General features: G+C 40.9%; 1 protein-coding gene across 7 annotated transcripts in view, besides 1 other annotated feature; it reads left to right on the top strand.

The window, feature by feature from the left end:
• The window catches only part of ZMAT4 (zinc finger matrin-type 4), a 367,237-nt gene that overhangs the window by 161,617 nt on the left and 186,218 nt on the right, over positions 1-19,402 (top strand). The window lies entirely within an intron of this gene.
• Positions 567-1,766: an enhancer, noted in NCBI's record as "MED14-independent group 3 enhancer chr8:40591963-40593162 (GRCh37/hg19 assembly coordinates)". NCBI's record gives its function as "activates an origin of replication core promoter dependent on BRD2, BRD4, P300/CBP and CDK7 cofactors, and independent of MED14, by STARR-seq in HCT116 cells {active_cell/tissue: HCT116}" and the evidence as "EXISTENCE:reporter gene assay evidence [ECO:0000049][PMID:35650434]".

Here is a 19,402-nt window from a genome sequence, read left to right as displayed (position 1 = left end):
TGGACTCAGTCCTTCTCCATGTTCCTGAGGCTATTGTGGTTGAAAGATTCCTAGGAGATAAGGTGAGGTTGGTCAGAGTCTTCCTGATCCCCACTGATGGGCTGTAGGTCTGAATAGCATTGGTTGACTTTATACAGTGTTTCTCCCGCTCTGCACTGTGGCATTACTGCATCTACTGAGACATTTACTTGTCTTATCTGCATTCCTAAATAATCCATCTTGGATTCTTAGCTTCTAAGAAGACTGAATTTGAAAGATCTAATTTCCAGCTTCATCTCAGCTACCAATTTACTGTGTGCCCTGGGACAAGTCACTCCCACTCCCCGTGCCTCTTTCTTTCTCTGGAAAAGGAAGATGCTTCCCGAGCGCCCATCCAGACATGCTGTTCTGGGACTCTGAGTGTTGTGATGGGTCCTGCGGTTAAACGTCCATATGTCTTTGTTTACAGTGTCTTAATAGTGAGACACTGAACTCACTGCTTTACAGAGACTATTGAATACACTGAACACCATGCTTAGCAAATTGTGATTGCCAGCTATAGGAATGTCCCTTCTGAGAGGAGAGTTGAAAAAGTGGCTATAACACAAAACCTGTTTCCTCAAGCTTTATGATGGGTTAAATTCCTGAAACCAGCTCTCAAATATTTTTTAGATCCAGTTTCTAACTCATATCCTTTATTTTAGTAATGCTTTTAAAAAAATCTGGCACTGTCTGAAAATGGACTATTCTAAGTAAGTATGTTTTTCAGATAACTGACTATGACTCTATGAGCACAAAAACTGAATAGTGCTCTTTTTATAAGGATGGAAATCCTTACAAAACGTATAGAACATTGTCTTGTCCTATAAAGAGAAAATATTGAGTATAATATAATTTAAATTTCCTATGTGACTAAAGTCATGTCTTTTATTCCTTTATTCAACAAATACTTATTAAACTCCAAATATATGCTAAGCACTGTGCTTAAGTAATGGGTATCTCATGTCTTACTTTGCAGATGTATTACCACCAAAGATTCCTCCTTATTGCTTCATTTATACAAGTTGACTGTTTTGATTTTATATATTAAATTTGGAGTTCTGAGCAATGATAAGGCAGAGTTTCTGCCTAGAGCATCAGATTTGGTGGGCAATTCAAACTGTCACATGCTCAGTCAGTAAAAAGCTGAGTCAGCTGTGTCTCACACCAGCCATTTTAGTCATCTAGACATAGGCGTTCCCACAACAAAGAGTCTGAAATAGCAAACAGCAAACTCAACAGGCTCTGTAATCTTTAGGTCCCAGTAGATTCTAATTTTATTTTATTTCAAGCAAGAGGGCATTATTGCAAAATATTTAATTTCTGTATTAATGTCTTTAGAGATTTTTTTAAATTTTGGACAATTCCAATCATATAATTTTTTCTTTAGGAGATTTTCAAGATTGGCCTCCAGTAACCTTGAAAACAGCCTTAAGTCATATTATGGGATGGTGGTGTTCTGGAATAGTTGCTGTTAAATGTAAGGTGACTCCTACTTTCCCTTTGACATTCATTTTAAACCTGGAGATGGTTTCTACAGAGAGTTGGGAGAACAGACTGGGGAATGTTTTCTAATGAGAGACGGGTGATTACCAGAGTCTTCCAGAATGTTAGAGCATGCCGACAGGCTACTTCTACTCTCTCTCTCTCCGCTCGGTTGTACTTTTCCATCTCCAGAATCTTTCACCTAGGGCACAGGGCAGTCTCTTCACAAGGAAATCGTCTAAATTTACACCCAAATCTTCCAGACTTTGTTTTCTTTTATTTTGTAAAGTCTCACGAAGTCAATTGTGGTTCACACGCAGGTGCCGATGATACATTACATATTTCACACACTGCATCTTAAAACTGGGGCTTGTAACTCCTCTTAAGTGCCATTTAATAATGTGCCAGGGTGTTTTTTATTGTTGCAGTGGGGTGTTACAGGTACTTAGCAGGAGAGGCCAGCCATGCCAAATGTCCTGAAATTTGGAGAGCAATATTTCGTAAGTAAGACTAGTCCCATCTAAAATGCCAAACGTGTGCCTATTGAGAAATAACTGCCATGTCCAGCGCATTCCTTGTAGCTTGCTATCCTCATTCTGTTAAGCATTGTTCATCTTTCCTACTTGCAACCACTAATGGTTAAAATCCTGCTATCTTTGAGTCTTACCTAGGAACTACCTTCCTTGTGGAACTCTCCTTGAATTTCTTGCTGGAAATAGTGTCTCCACCATTTTAGTGTACATAGTATCTTGTTTTTACAGATCACTTCTGGATGTAGCTAATTATTAATATCTACCTCCAAGGTGTCAGCACCTTCAGGGCAAGGATGTGTCTTACTCAGAGTATTCCTGGAATACCATGGGGATTCATGGCAAGGCTCAGGAAACATTTGTTGAATGAATGAACGAGAGTTGTTGAGTAATAGAAAACTCTTCATTCCTGCTAATTTAGACCTGTTCTAAGGCTGCCTTTCACAACCAGTATTTCTTAAACTGGATCCCACCTATAATAGTTATCTGAAATCCCTGCATATGTCATTCTTAATGAAATCTGAAAGCAGTGCCTAAGGCTCCACCAAGAACAGCGATTCTCGTTGGCCTGTCCCTGAAATTGTCTTGACACAACTTGTAATAGGCTATGACTGCTCAACAAATCCAAAAGCTTCTGCATTTCAGCAACTTGTTAACAGGCCCCCAAACAACTCTAGTTAATTCTGTAGAATACACAAGATTCACTTTGAAGTATATAATAATATTAACACAAGTCCTGTGAGTTAACATTGTGACTAGGCATGCATTGCAAATTAGATGCAGTTACCCTCTCTCTGACTTTTTAAAATGTAGAACATAATAGAGTTTCAAGGCATTTTAAGCTTGGAAATGAAATATACCAGATTTTTGATTTTTGCAAAGACAATGACAAACTTAATGAAAGACCAAGAATGGGTCTGTTCTAGTCACTGAACCCCCTGCGATAATTGTCTGCTTGCAAAGATGAATTCAGGGCTCTTAAAAAAGGATGTCAGCTCCCTTTAACTGTGCTCAGATTTTTAAGTTAAAAGTATGGAGGTCAGCCAAACATGTTGGGTTTTGCTTGTAAGCCCAGCTACTCAGGAGGCAGGATTGCTTGAGGCCAGGATTTCAAGACCAGCCTGGGCAACATAGCAAGACCTCTAAGATAATGAAAATTAAAAATTAGCTTGGTGTGGTGGCCTGTGCCTGTCAACCCAGCTACTTGGCAGGGTGAGGTGAGAGGGTCGCTTGAGCCCAGGAGTTCGAAGATGCAGTAAGCTATGATCATGCCACTGCATTCCAGCCTGAGCAACAGTGCTAAACCCCCAACTCAAAAAAAAAAAAAAAAAAAAAAAAAAAAGGAGGTCTTGCTCAGCCCAGGTCTGCCAGATGTCCCTGGTTCCCAGTGTCTGCCTTTTTCTTCTTCCCACAGTTGAGGCCACTGGGGCATCCAGGCCTCAGGGCCTTTTTGGGAAGAGATGATGAAGGCCTACCCCATAACGTTGGACACCAGTATCAGTCATGCTTGCTCCAAGGCTTATCCTGCCCTCATGGACCTGTGGATATTTTGGATAGCTATAGACTGTCCTTCCTCCTCTGCCCCTGTGGCATCTTGGTAATTTAGCTGCCACTCTGGAGCAGGTGCCTGTTCCTACCAGGGAGAAGAGTCCTGGATATGAATCCAGCCCAATGGCTTGGGCCCTGCTCACTGCTGCCCAACTGTACAGATGCCAGATGCCTCTTTTCTACTTGGGTTCCTAAGGCTGCAGGCCCTGGCACCTCATTGTGCTGGCTCCAGCTCTGTCTGGTGCCAAGTGTGTGCCTAGGCTGACATCTCTTTCTTGCTGGAGCTGACTGCCTGCCAGTACCTGCTGCAGGGTCTGACCTTCCCGTTGTAGGCACTCTTCTAAGGTCCCTTTGTCTTTTTTTCTTTTTTTCCCAATTTTTAAAAATTGGGGTAAAACATGTATACATAAAATTTACCGTCTTAGGCATTTTAAGCATACAGTTCATTGGTATTAAATACATTCACAGTGTTGTGCAAACATCATCACTGTCTGTCTCTAGAACTCTCTCCATCTGATAAAAATGAAACTCTATACCCATTAAACAATACCTCCCTGATTCCCCTCCTCCCAGCCCCTGGCAATCACCATTCTACTTCCTGTCTCTGACTCCCGTAGGTACCTCATGTAAGTGGAATCGCACAGTATTTGCCTTTTCATGAGTGACTTGTTTCACTTAGCATAATGTCCACAAGTTTCATCCATGTTTCAGCATTTGTCAGAAATTCCTTCTTTTTAAAGGCTAGATACTATTCCATTATATGTATACATCACATTTTGTTTATCCAATCATCCATCCATGGACACTGAATTGCTTCCACCTGTTAGCTGTTGTGAGTCAAGCTGCTGTGAACGTGTGTGTGCGAATATCTCTAATTCTTATTTCGACTTTATTCATAAATCATTTTCTTGACTTTTTCCGTGTCTTCCCTGTAGTCTTTGATCAGCTTTACGACAGCTGTTTTCAAGTGTTTGTCTCATAGATTTGCCATCAGGTGCTCTTCAGGGGCAGTTTCTGCTGATTTACTGATTTACTGTTTTTCCTTTGAATGGAATGTACTTCTCTGTTTCTTTGTATGTCTTGTGACTTTTTTCCTTTTTGTTGATAATTTGAGTCTAATAAGGTAGTAACTCTGGAAATGATTCTTCTTCTTCCCTTAGGTTTGCTGTTTCTTGTTATTGTTTTTGTCTGTTTCTCTCTCTCTCTGTCTGATCATTGTAGGCTGTCTCTGTGCCAAGGATCAACCTGAAGTATGAATTTAAAGTCTTCTCAGGTCTTTTCTGAGCCTGTGCCTTTTACTGGGCATGTGCAGTCATTTTCTAATTCCCCCCTCCCCCGCCCATATGCAGTTACTTTGGAATGTTCCAGTCTTTCCTGGCTGGCTCCCAAAAAAGAAAAATACAGGGGAAGGGAATGGGTACCAGTCCTATAAATCCCCTGGAACGCCCTCCAACCAGGGGAAGTGGGGCTTGCAACAAATGGGGAGGTGCAACAATAGTGTCCCCCCAGCTCTTTGCACCTCTGTGATCAGAAGCAGTGATCAGTGATTAGGGTGCAGATCCTTGATATTTGAAGGCCAGGGTTCTTTTTGCCCACCCTGGCTCCTGCAAATCTGTGTAGGTTGCTCCAGGAACCCATACACAGTATCCTGCTATGGGGCTGTGGCTGGGAGATGAGTAGCTGCTACTGTGCAAGGAGCTGAAATTGACTGAAATTCACTGCAGTTTACTGTTCAAGCCTTCTCTTGGAAGTTGCAAGCCTTCAATGGACTCCAGAGTTCCAAAACAGTTACATTAGATAGAGTCCATAAGTGTGACTGCTTTCTTGATGGGGAAACAGATTCCAGGAATTTCCTACTCCCATGATCTTCCCAGAATCCTTTCTTGGGCTCTTTTTCTTTGAGCCAGATTTGTTTGCCCTTCTTTGAGGGGAGTTGTTTCCCTGGGGTTTCCTTAGAGCCTTCTGAAATCCCCACCAGGCTATGTCAATCCCACTCAGACACACACTTAGATCTGAATCCTTTGGGGCAACATGGGTTGGGAACACCTTAAGAACCTGCATACACAGAACATAGAATGAGTACAAATTAAGTATTTTAGAGGAATAAAGTATTGTGAATGTGTTAGATTGGGCAAATAAAAAAGGATCATCATAGGATGGCACATTCATGCACATTTATAAATAACATTTCTATTTTTGTATGTTGGAATCCCAACAGACATGCTCATATTTCCAAATGAGGGATAGATTTAAATCAATTCATCTTCAATCACAGTTTTCCTGTTATGTATTTTTATCATGTTCTCATATATGTGAAATCATTAGTAAAAGTAAAGCAAAGAATGCTGGTCTCTTTCATCTTTCAGCATTATTGAAGCAGGAAAGATGACTGTTTTCACAATGTGTTTTTAGGGTGCCAACATTTAAAGGGACTGGGAAAAATTTTACTGTAAAAATACTCATGAATTCATGACTATGGGCTTCCATTCATGGATAATTGTGATAAATGTTTCATTTACATTTCTATTATTATGGATTATCTGTTTTCTTTTTAGTTTAGATTAAAACATAATGTACTCACATATGAAATTCAAGTGAAGCCTTCTGTGAATCACAGGTCTGCAGATTTTAAACATAATTATGGTTACTCAAATATATTGTTTATGCCTGATCAACCATGTTTTAATCAATGCCAAATAATTTTGTTTTTTTAAATACTGAGGCTTCAAGAAAGAAATATATGCTCAAGCGGGCCTGTAATCCCAGCACTTTGGGAGGCCAAGGCAGGCGGATCACAAGGTCAAGAGATTGAGACCATCCTTGCCAACGTGGTGAAACTCCATCTCTCCTCAAAATACAAAGATTAGCTGGGTGTGGTGGCACGTGCCTGTAGTCTCAGTTACTCAGGAGGCTGAGGCAGGAGAATCATTTACTTGAACCCGGGAGGTGGAGGTTGTAGTGGGCCAAGATTGTGCCACTGCACTCCAGCCTGGTGACAGAGCGAGACTCCTTCTCAAAAAAAAAAAAAAAAGAAAGAAAGAAAGAAGTATACAAAGAAAGCACTAATATGCATTAACTAAAAATTATTTGTTGCTTTGGATATTGGTTGATTATTTAGTATCTACTTAGAACATGTGTATAACTACTTGAAATATGATGTTGCTTTGCTGTTTAACATGGTTAACAGTAAAATGTGTAAATGAATAATAATGCTTTAGACTGGATTTCAAAATGTACTATATATGTAGCATGAATACCCCCACAGTTTTACTTAGCTCTTCTAGCTTAAAGGTCAGCACAATACACAGACCTCCCATTTGGATACTTGATATGACAGAGATAATTAACTGTCCTCCAAAAGATTTGTACCGTACCTCCTAGAGTACAGAATTGTTGCTGACAAGTGTCTTCCCTACTAAAGACATCATGTCCTAGCCCTCCTTACAATTAGATGGGTCATGATACTAGTTCTTACCAGTGGAATGTGAACAGAAGTGAAATGCATCGCTTTTAGGTCAAACTGTTTAAAAAGAAAATGTAAAACGGTTGAACAAAGAAACAAATTCATGATGTATTCATGCATTAGAATACTGTTCCTCAATGGGAAGGAAAGAACTACTGATTCTGGCAAAACATGGATAAGTTTCAAAACATTGTGTGCTAGAAGCCAAACACAAAAGAGACCATACTGTATAATTCGATTCGTATGAAGTCCAGTAATAGACAAAACTAGTCTATGGTGAGAAAAATCAGGAAGTGGTTGCCTGCGGGGAATGGCGGGTTGACTACACATGAGCACTAGACAACATTCTAGGTAGAAAAAAAAATGGTTGGCGTCTTGTTCTGAATGGTTATTACACAGGTGTAACAGTTGTCAAAACTCATTGAACTCAGCACTTAAGATCCAAGCATTTGTGTGTGCATGTGTAAATTACATTTTAATGAAACCAGATGTGCCTTCCTGACTCTCTCTTTCCCCATCCTCCAACTCAGTGGTTCTCAACCAGAGGCAATTTTGTCTCCCAGGAGACATTTGGCAGCAGTAGGAGGCATTTTTGATTGTTGTGCTTCTGGTGTTTAGTTAGTAGTGGTCAGTGATGCTTCTCAGCATCCTACAATGGCACACAATGGCCCTCCACAACAAAGCATCACATGTTCTGAAATACCAGTGATGCTCAGGTTGGGAAACTGCTATAGCTGAATGCAGTATGGACCCACAAGATGGAAACATTTTTGCCACCAGCACAGGATGTTACATGAACAAGAAAAAAATTTATACTGTGTTAAGGTACGGAAGTATTAGAGTTTGTTTGTTTCAGTGGTTAGCATCACTTTAACTAATATACCAGACTTTAAATCCTTGATGCTAAGAATAATATTTATGAGGAAATGTGAGTGAAATTTATCTTAAGTTTTAATATCAAGCAAAGCTATGCTTCCTCTAAACCATTATTGTAATTTTATCTTAAGGACATTGTCAGTTTTATAATTTCGTGTGTTTCCCTTCTTGTTTCAAATCACAGAGAGTAATTCTTAGGCAGCTCTTAACTCTCCAGGAACATATGATTTGCGTTTCTGCATGCTCCCCTTGTCTTTAATATTTTTCTATCTTTATTTCCTAGCACTAATCCCATAACTACCTATTTTTGCTTTTGGTATTTCATTATTTTTTAAAGGCTAGCTCATATTCTTTGCATAAAAATTCAGCTTATAAAAAATAAATAAAATGTTATTCAAATACTTAACATTCCTTTATTTTAGGTTTTGAATTAATAATGGTTTTTGTATCTCAGACCTTGAAGGGATTTTTATCTTGTCTTAACCTCTTAAGATCGAGAGAGATAAAATGTTCATAGTGATAGTTCATAAAATTATTTCATGTCTAAAATAGAAGGTGTTCTCTACTGTATATAAAAGTTCTATACTTTATACATGGATTATAACTTGTTCATCTCTAATTGGACACACCTTTTGAATTATTCTTCTGATAAGGAAATGGGATTCATGCCACTCTGTAGTAGACATTCTTGGCTGCCTACTCAATATCCACCCTCTTCTCCTTTTTCCTTCTGGCAGATCTCCAATTTTGTTCAAGTATCCACTCATTTCAGCTAATCTATAAGCTTCACGGGAGAAATACATCCACTTAGCACCACGGGTGGCATCGTGGTTGGATTAAGCTGTGGCCTTTGCCTCCTTGTCAGTCATTGGTTTAATCCATGGATCGGTGGTGCTATTCTGGCTACTGAAATGCAGAAGCCAACTGAGGTGGGGAGTGGAAGTTCCAGGAATGATTTTCCTCAACCTTAGAAATAGACACGAGGGAATATGATTGTTCTGTTGCTTGTGGACACTGTTGTATCTGCCTGAGATGACGAGAACTCTGGCAGCCATCACAGGACTATATGGAGAGTTAGGCAGAAGCACAAACCAGGCAGGCCAAAGATAGCAGCCAAAGAGATAAAAAAGAACCTGAGTGTTTATTAGACCTCCAAACCACTAACTAAAAGGACTCCAGAGCTAAATTCCCTCTCCCTTTGTTGTATGAGAAAATAATTTCCTCAAGCCAGTTGGTTTAGGGTTTTCTTGTACTTGTACTTGAAAGTATCCTTCCGAAATATCTTCTTGTACCTCTCCGATGACTTAGGGTGGTTTTAACATTTACAATGTTCCTGTGTGTGGCCAGTATGAAATCCAGGCTTATGAACTAGAGGATGTGAGACCTTTACCTTAGTCAAACTATGCTCTAAGAAGCGGAACGCATTAGCCCAAGCCCCCAAGAGAGTTGGCAAAGTTCTTCTGTGAAGAGCCAGAAAGTAAGTATTTTAGACTCTGCCGGCCATATTGTTTCTGTTGCCACTCCTCAACTCTGCTGTTATAGTACAAAAGCAGCCACTGAGACTACATAAGTGAGTGAGCATGGCTGTGTGCCAATAAAACTATTTTCACAAAAAGCAGGCAGTGGGCTAGGTTTGTGTTGTGGGTTTGCTGACTATGGTTTGGGTTGTGTGGTTTGCTGACTTCTGACCTAAATTACATTCAGTCCAACTATAGCTAATCTAGGTTGATGGGGACACGGAACAGCTATGAGATTACTTACCTGGCTCCACTTTCCCTCCTTTTTCTTGCATTATCTGCCCTCTGGTAGAATAACCATTTTGCAGTAAGGCGGCAGAAAGGCCAAAAGTCAGGAGAGAGAAAATTGAGAACAAGAGATTTACATCATAGACATTCTACTTAATCAGTTACTGAATAACCAATGTTTGGCTACACTCCTCTGAAACTATTTGTCTAGAAAAGCCCACGATCTTGATGCCACCAAATGAATGAGAAAAATGCATTTGAACCAGGTTTACTCTGATCTGTCTGTTTTAACACAAAATATCTTTGACCAAATAAAAGGCAACATGTTCCGACTTCAGAGTTTGCATAAAGGCAGGTGCATCTGGGCAGTCTGTGCAAGGATGCTGTTCTAATTAGGGAAATGGAAAAGTCTTTAATTCTGAAAGTGCCAGCCTGTCATATTTAGCCAGCATACTCTGAGATCTAATAAACCTCTGTCAAAAACAACAAGGGGTAATGGAAATCAGGTATGATTGATTTAGGAAAATGCCAGTGATGAGTATCTGTTGAGAAATAAGTAAGATAGGAAAAGCAGAATGGAAATTGGAGCATCCTGGCTTAGCTGGTCCGATGATAAAAATTATGCAAATGTGCACAGCACATCTTTAGAATACTATTATCAGTTTTACAAAGCCCATCTCTTACTTCTCATTCCCCTGTTTCTTTAAATGCAATGCTGTCTCTGAAAGTAGGCTGACATGAAATCATGATTGTTTTTTCTTTTTTTCTTTTTTTTGAGGCAGAGTCTCACTCTGACACCAGGCTGGAGTGCAGTGGCACGATCTTGGCTCATTGCAACCTCTGCCCCCCAGGTTCAAGCGATTCTCCTGCCTCAGCCTCCTGGAAATCATGACTTTAAAGGAGATATTTAGTGTACATAAGCCCCAGAGTGAAAGCATCCCAGCGAATCACTTGATTCCTCTGTGACAGCTGCAGAGGATCCGCAAAGCACATGCATCTTAGACTAAGCATTTTGTTTTCAAGCAACATTGGGCTTTGAAGCCCATTCCAAACAGAAGTATACATGCTTCACATGAATACATGCCATCTCGAGACATTTTTATCCAGGACTTTAGTGGACTCTGATTAATACTAATACATACAAAAATGAAAATAGAACAAAAGATATCCCCCCTGAGGAAGGCCCCTCAGGAAAGACGTTACATTAGCTTTGTTTCTAATTAGGTCCTTTCTGCCTTTTGGGGAATGGAGGAGACCTGAATCCCTCTAACTCTTTCATCCAGTCACTCCCCACAGCCTGACTGCCACTTTACAATTAATTGAAAAACCTATGCTTTTAAGTTGATGCCAGATGACTTAGCAGGAATAAACACACTTACAGGTGTCTCAGGAAGCACAACTCTAATGCCTAGGAATTTTTGATGACTTCCCTCCTGATGGCACTTCCCGCAGTTTGCAACTAAGTAGGCAGGCGTTCCATAGCAAAGTGGTTTACTTGCAAGTCATGTAGTGATGGAAAAGGAGTCATAATTTTAGCACTATTAATGGAAAATATAGACAGGTTAAACAAGAAGTATAATGCTGAGTTCCAATCCTTCAGTTAGTAAAAATATTCTGCAGTGAGTGTGGGGAGCTAAAGGTATCATCCCAGCTAGGTCTGGAACCTTCTTTTGGCCTGGATCCTGCCTCCCTATCCACTTCATCTCCTGCTCTGCATTTCTTTCCCTTTTCCAGATGATGCCATCTCCTTTCTCATCTCCACATCTCACATAGGCTTGGCCAAGTCCTATGCATCCTTCAAGACTCAGTTCAAATGCTTCTTCCTCTGTGAAGGCCCCAGTGCTCTTAGGGAAAGTTATTGTCTCTTCTGTGCTTCCCCTTGTCTACTGTAGATCCCATCACAGTGCATTGAGGTTGACTGACCCAGTGATGTGTCATTCTCCTTCTTTCACTGCAAACTTCTGAAGATTGGAATTATTCATCATTGTCTCCTCAATGCCTGGCATATAGTAGATGATCAATACATATCTGTAAGTATGAGTCAGACCACTGAAAAGCTAGATGTCATCTTCAGACATTGTCCAATGATGTACTTATTTATAAAACAGGTTGAAACAAAGTCAAACGTTCTTTGCAAGGCTGTCAGAACACACTACTGAACCGAAAGCCAATAAGCTCCAAATCTGACAGCTTAGAGAATGATTTCACATCTGGACTTCCTATGTGACTTTGGTCCACCATAGAGACCACATCTGGCTTTTCCAATGGTGTTGCCATCCCTTTTTCCCCATCCAATTTTGGATTTTATTACCAAGTAAAGTCCCAGAATGAGGTCTACCTACCCCTTTTCTTGTGGTTCTTATCCCAGGGCTGCTTTGCTGGACAGAGAACTGAAAACAATGAGAACACTGGGGAACGTCTTTTGTGCAGAGAAATCTAAGTGCAGTGGGAAGAACAAGCCCAAAGGACAAGAAAAGAAAAAAAAAACCTCACATAAACTAAGCAGAGTTGCTTATCTGGATCTTTGGGGAAGAGCCTTGGCTGGGAGCAAGTGAAGGGATGTGTACCAGGAAGACTTGGGGAAGCAATTTTGCACATAGGGACTCAGGAGGGTGGAACCAGGGTGCATTTTCACATGTGGCATTTTCAGGAAGTGGCAGCTCTCTGCTGGCTCTCACTACCCACACAGGGGCAGGGGACACAGTCCCCCTCTCCACCAGCAGCACCTTTCTCCAAGACAAAGGGCAAAAATCTATCCCCTGGCCCTCCTCATTAGTCACCAAAGGACAAATGTATTGTGTTCCAATGGTTGATTTATAAATATGTTACCTAGAGTATGAAACAGTTTTACCCCACAGGAATAATATAAAATCTGGTTAGATTCCTAAATCTGGTTAGATTCCACCAATCCTCATTAATTTAGAATTAATTTAGAGAATTAAACTTTTGGCTTTCTTTTAATTTAATTAATACCCAATCTTTTTTTTTTTTTTTTTTTTTTTGAGATGGAATCTTGCTGTGTCACCCAGGCTGGAGTGCAGTGGTGCAATCTCAGCTCACTGCAACCTCTGTTTCTGGGGTTTAAGCGATTCTCCTGCCTCAGCTTCCCCAGCAGCTGGGATTACAGGTGCCTGCCACCATGCCGAGCTAATTTTTGTATTTTTGGTAGAGACGGGGTTTCACCATGTAGGCCAGGCTGGTGTCAAACTCCTGACCTCAGGTGATCTGCCCACCTTGGCCTCCCAAAGTGTTGGGATTACAGGCGTGAGCCACCGTGCCCAGTCCTACCCAATCTTTAGAGCATGATTTCTATTAGAAGGTATATTTTGGGCTCTAAATGTAGATACTCATTCTCCTATCCCTTTCTTCCCTGCCTGAGGAGATTTCTAGGTCCTTGGTATTCATAGGCAATGCTCTGGGGGTTACAGTTCTAAGCACTGGTTAGTTTCTCACTTTTAAAACAAGTGACACCTCTGTTGCTGCATTGAGAAGACATTTTCACATCCCTGTCTTCTCCCCAAGTGAAGATGCAATTCCAGTTACAATGGGGTGGGAAGAAATGGCATGGTCCCAGTGGGTAGGGGCCTCACATGCTTTGGAAAACCTTTTCTTGTACATGAGCCATTCTTGTGTTGAGAATTTGTATGTTGGTGATGTTGAGGACTAACTTCTGAGTATGCATGTGGACGCTCACAGGTGGAGATGTATGTGAGCACTTATCACCCGGTGTCTGATTCCACCTCTGTCTCCTTCTCCCGGTAGAGTCAAACCATTCTGGAGGTGCTTCGTGCAGCCTGCTACAATCCCCGCAGGTTCCTCCTCCTGACTGTGAGCAGGGAGGGTGTTTGTTGGTGGTGTATGTGCAGCTTTTTCCTTTGGGATTTCATTAGATAGTTTTATTTTTATGCATCAAAGAAAAAAGAGCAGGAATATTAGGCTTTTTGAGAGTAATGTGAATGTGACTTTATCATATTTGATGGCAATTTACTTAAGGACACACTTAGGGCTCTTTGTAAAGAAATGCAGAGAGTCTACAAAAAAATCATTACAAGCATAATAAAGCTGGGGAAGTGGCTTTAAGATGTGTGTGATCCAATTGTATACAGTACTTATCTGGTTATAAATACAAATTCCCTCCCTACTAAGATGCTTCTGGCTAATAGCTCTAAATTACAGTCGCATGGCCTGGCTTTAAGACAAAGCTATATAAGGTGTAGGAAACCTCCACCCTCAGTGTCACCTTAAAGCTTAAAAATAGCCCTTTGTCAGATGAGTAGGTTGCGAAAATTTTCTCCCATTTTGTAGGTTGCCTGTTCACTCTGATGGTAGTTTCTTTTGCTGTGCAGAAGCTCTTTAGTTTAATTAGATCCCATTTGTCAATTTTGGCTTTTGTTGCCATTGCTTTTGGTGTTTTAGACATGAAGTCCTTGCCCATGCCTATGTCCTGAATGGCAATGCCTAGGTTTTCTTCTAGGGTTTTTATGGTTTTAGGTCTAACATTTAAATCTTTAATCTATCTTGAATTGATTTTTGTATAAGGTGTAAGGAAGGGATCCAGTTTCAGCTTCCTACATATGGCTAGCCAGTTTTCCCAGCACAATTTATTAAATAGGGAATCCTTTCCCCATTGCTTGTTTTTCTCAGGTTTGTCAAAGATCAGATAGTTGTATATCCAGAATCTACAATGAACTCAAACAAATTTACAAGAAAAAAACAAACAACCCCATCAAAAAGTGGGCGAAGGACATGAACAGACACTTCTCAAAAGAAGACATTTATGCAGCCAAAAAACACATGAAAAAATGCTCATCATCACTGGCCATCAGGGAAATGCAAATCAAAACCACTATGAGATACCATCTCACACCAGTTAGAATGGCGATCATTAAAAAGTCAGGAAACAACAGGTGCTGGAGAGGATGTGGAGAAATAGGAACACTTTTACACTGTTGGTGGGACTGTAAACTAGTTCAACCATTGTGGAAATCAGTGTGGCGATTCCTCAGGCATCTAGAACTAGAAATACCATTTGACCCAGCCATCCCATTACTGGGTATATACCCAAATGACTATAAATCATGCTGCTATAAAGACACATGCACACGTATGTTTATTGAGGCATTATTCACAATAGCAAAGACTTGGAACCAACCCAAATGTCCAACAATGATAGACTGGATTAAGAAAATGTGGCACATATACACCATGGAATACTATGCAGCCATAAAAAATGATGAGTTCATGTCCTTTGTAGGGACATGGATGAAATTGGAAATCATCATTCTCAGTAAACTATCGCAAGAACAAAAAACCAAACACTCCATATTCTCACTCATAGGTGGGAATTGAACAATGAGATCACATGGACACAGGAAGGGGAATATCACACTCTAGGGACTGTGGTGGGGTGGGGGGAGGGGGGAGGGATAGCATTGGGAGATATACCTAATGCTAGATGACGAGTTAGTGGGTGCAGTGCACCAGCATGGCACATGTATACATATGTAACTAACCTGCACAATGTGCACATGTACCCTAAAACTTAAAGTATAATAAAAAACAAACAAACAAACAAAACACAAATAAACAAACAAACAAAAAATAGCTTTCTCATGACATTGACTACTCTGCCTCTGAGCCTCTATTTCCCCCCCTTCCCTCCCTCCCACCTTACTCAGATTGTGCTAAAAGGAAACAGGGCTTCTAAAAGAGTCTATCGGGCTGGGCATGGTGGCTCATGCCTGTAATCCCAGCATTTTGGGAGGCTGAGGTGGGCGGATTACTTGAGGTCAGGAGTTCAAGACCAGCCTGGCTAACATGGTGAAACCCAGTCTCTAGAGAAATACAAAAATTAGCTGATCATGGTGTGGGTACCTGTAATCTTAGCTACTTGGGAGGCTGAGGCAGGAGAATTGCTTGAATCCAGAAGGCAGAGGTTGCAGTGAGCCAAAATCATGCCACTGCACTCCAGCCTGGGTGACAGAGCAAGACTCCATCTCAAAAAAAAAAAAAAAAAAAAAAGATTCTACCCAGGCATGCTGATATTTTATCTGGCCTGTGATCTAGCTGGGCATTGATGCCACACTTCCTGTCTGCCTTGTCCTGTAAGTCAGATGGATGATTACAGCAAGGAGGAGGGGATAATGCAAGTCCTTCTGACCACAGACTAATACCTGCATTCATCCAGAGCCACAATAAAGAGTCCTAGAAAACCAAGTGTAGATTTTATTAAGTTGGGAACACCTACTCTGAATGGTCTGCTAACACCCTTTACATTCATACTCAATAATAGTGCTGGTTAATAAGATCAATAGTGACAACAATCACCTGAATGGAATTGCTTTTATTTAGATCATGAATCATGACCATGTTGATGTTTTCAAACAAATTTCTGAGACTAAATAACATGCCCCAAAAGTTGATAAGAATGTTCAGCTGCAGACATTCATTATTACTTTGCAATTAGGGAGAGGCAAGTCCATTGTTGACCTAGGTTCATGGGAGGCAGAGAAGTAGATGGTCACTGGGTCCTACTGCAGAGGGCATGGTGGAATTGTCTACAGATCTTAACATCCAGACAGGACTCACCTTGGAGAAGCATGGGCTGCTGAGGAGTGTGGGGTCTGTGCCCTTTGCCTCCAGGGAGAGCAAGCACATTAAAAGGCTTTGAATGGGCTGGGCATGGTGGCTCATGCCTGTAATCCCAGCACTTTGGGAGGCTGAGGGGGGGCAGATCACCTGAGATCAGGAGTTCAAGACCAGCCTGTCCAACATGGCAAAACCTCATCTCTACTAAAAAATACAAAAATTAGCAGGGTGTGGTGGTGGACACCTGTAGTCCCTGCTACTCTGTAGCCTGAGGCACGAGAATCACTTGAACCCAGGAGGCGGAGGTTGCAGTGAGTTGAGATTGCACCACTGCACTCCAGCCTGGGTGACTCCGTCTCAAAAAAAACAAAAAACAAAAAACAAAAAAAGGGCCTTGAGTGCCTTCTCCACGAACTCGCTGCCTGTCAGTCACTGTTGCTGAATATTTCTCCCTGCTTTCTCTAATTTACCTTCATTAAAGTATTTTATTTATTTATTTATTCATTTATTTATTTATGTTTTGAGACAGAATCTTGCGTGACACCCAGGTTGGATGGCACGATCTCAGCTCACTGCAACCTCCGACCCCAAGGTTCAAGCAATTATCTTGCCTCAGCCCCCAAGTAGCTGGGACTACAGGCACCTGCCACCACGCCTGGGTAATTTTTTTGTGTATTTTTAGTAGAGACAGGGTTTTACTATGTTGGCCAGGCTGGTCTTGAACTCCTGACCTCATAATTCGCCGTCTCAGCCTCCCAAAGTGCTGGGGTTACAGGTATGAGTCATCACACCTGGCCTCAAAGTCTTAACAACTCATATGTCAACTTCTTAATTACCAAAAGAGAGAGAAGAAAACATCAGTTTGGGGTAATGCATTTAAAGGGAGCCCTCAGGCTGATTTCTAGGCCCCATCCGGTTCTCATCTGAGTGAGCAGTATTTTGAAGTTGCCTCCAAGAATTGGACTTGATCATTTAGTTTCCTCTCATTTCTAAGGATTCCTGGGATTCCAGGTCAGTGCCACAGGGGAACCTTGGAAAGTGTATATATGTCAGAAATTTAGAGGAAGAATGTCATCAGAAATTGGAACTTGAATCCACAAGAGTATGAGAGATAATTGCTTCCACTTTGGAAGTCATTATCTTGTGCCCCCAGAACTCTTATCTATAGAGCAGGCATGAGAACTATGGTTTAGATGGGCTGTTTGCACATTTTACTTTGTGCTACAAATTTTTTTGCTTGCTTTTCTCTCTGTGTGTGTCTCTGTCACTGTCATGGAGACGAACTGGATGAGGGAAAGAAGAAGGAGGCTGGGTGAGCAGGTAATTGTGCAGTAGCTGTTCTCCAGAGAATCCTACCCAAGGGTCATGGGTGATTTATGTTTTTCCTCCACCTTTGCCCAGACTTTCTTTCTACTGTTGCCTTTGAATAAACTGGAAATTTAAAAAAAAATCATAATTGCAGTTTCCTAAATCATTTGACACTCCAGTCATCCTGCAAGTATTGTTATAAGGAGTTTCCCACAGAACAAACTGGCTTACTTCTATCTTCAAGGATGGGATCAGTAAGCTTGGCTAGATTGTCCAGTTCATTTGGGCCCAAAGCAGATTTCCTCCTCTAACCCAGGCCTACCTAAGAGGATGCTGGGGTCTGAGTAGAGCTAGCCTAACCTCCATGGCAGGCTGGTGACACTGCTGACGCAGACTGGTCACTGCCCTGTGGATTGCTTTATTTTTGGGCAGAATTGCTACCAGTTATGAAGTGCAGGATGCTGTGTTGGTTAATTAACAGCTATTTATAAGTGGCTATCTATACGAGGTTCTAATCCAGAAGTTGGCAGGAAGAAGTAAAAGAGAACTGAAAAACAAAATGCTAAATGCAGTGTGGTATCCTGGATTGGATCCTGAAACAGAAAAAGAACATGAGTGGAAAAACTAGTGAAATCTGTATAAAGTCTGGAGTTTTGTTAATAGTAAGCTATCAAAGTTAATTTCTCAGTTTTGATGAATGTATCACAGTTATGTAAGATGTTAACAGGAGGGGAAACAGAGAACAACAGTATGTGGGAACTTACTGTACTTTCTGCAAATTTAAAATTATTCATAATTAAAAATTTATTAAAAATAAAAAGAAACACCATCCAGAGTCACCATAACTTTAGTAAAGTAGGTTCCTATTGACAGATTCTTTGAAGTTTTAAGTTTATGTATTTTTTCAAGAAATATACATTTTTACTGAATGCTTTATTTTGTTTTTATTTATTTATGATTTTAAATTAATTTTTTTGTTTGCTTTTTAGAGACAGAGTCTTGCTCTGTCACCCAGGCTGGAGTGCAGTGGTATAATTACAGCTCACAGCAGCCTTGAACTCCTGGGCTCAAGGGATCCTCTTGCCTCAGCCTACCCAGTAGCTGGGACTAGAGGCATGCACCACCACACCTGGCTAGTTATTTTTTATTCTTATTTTGTAGAGATGGAGTATCACTGTGTTGCCAAGGCTGGTCTCAAACTCCTGGCCTCAAGCAATCCTCCTGCCTGGACCTCCCAAAGTGCTGGGATTACAGGCGTGAGCCACTGTACCCTGCCTGAATGCTTTATTTTGAGTATTTTATATTAGAAGATATTTCTTGATGGAACTAACACAGAAAAGCTAATAAATATGTGATTTGTTTTGACCTTTTTGTACAATCTGTATCAGAGACCAACTACTTATTAAATGGTGAGTGGAAATCTCAGAATACTTTCCATCTGGGTCCTTCAAATTGGGACTTAAGGACCTTCATTGTGTGCAAGGTTTGATAAGCAAAAGGATGACTTCACCCTACTGGGAAAAGATGGTATTACTGAGCAATCAAAGATAAAATTACAGGATTATAGACGAGATACAACATGTTTCAGCTCTTCTCCTTGTTAAAATCAAGTGCTCAGAACTTTTCATAGGAGGACAGAGTTTTATATCCAGAGAGATTAACTTTCCAGTGACACAGTTTCACAATGATAGGTATGCTAGCGTCCAGGGAACAGGAGGAGAAAAGGCAGGTCCACGTGATACCCATGGGCTTCCTGGAGAAACTGCTAATGACAAAGCTCCAGCTCAGTCTGACCAGCTAACAAAGTAAAAAGGCCTAGGTCTTTGTTGATATCTCAAGGA

The sequence above is a fragment of the Homo sapiens genome, chromosome 8 (assembly GCF_000001405.40).
Source record: "Homo sapiens chromosome 8, GRCh38.p14 Primary Assembly".
Classification (NCBI taxonomy): domain Eukaryota; kingdom Metazoa; phylum Chordata; class Mammalia; order Primates; family Hominidae; genus Homo; species Homo sapiens.
The sequence above is the reverse complement of the archived record's forward strand: the minus strand, read 5'-3'. Positions and strand labels throughout refer to the sequence as shown.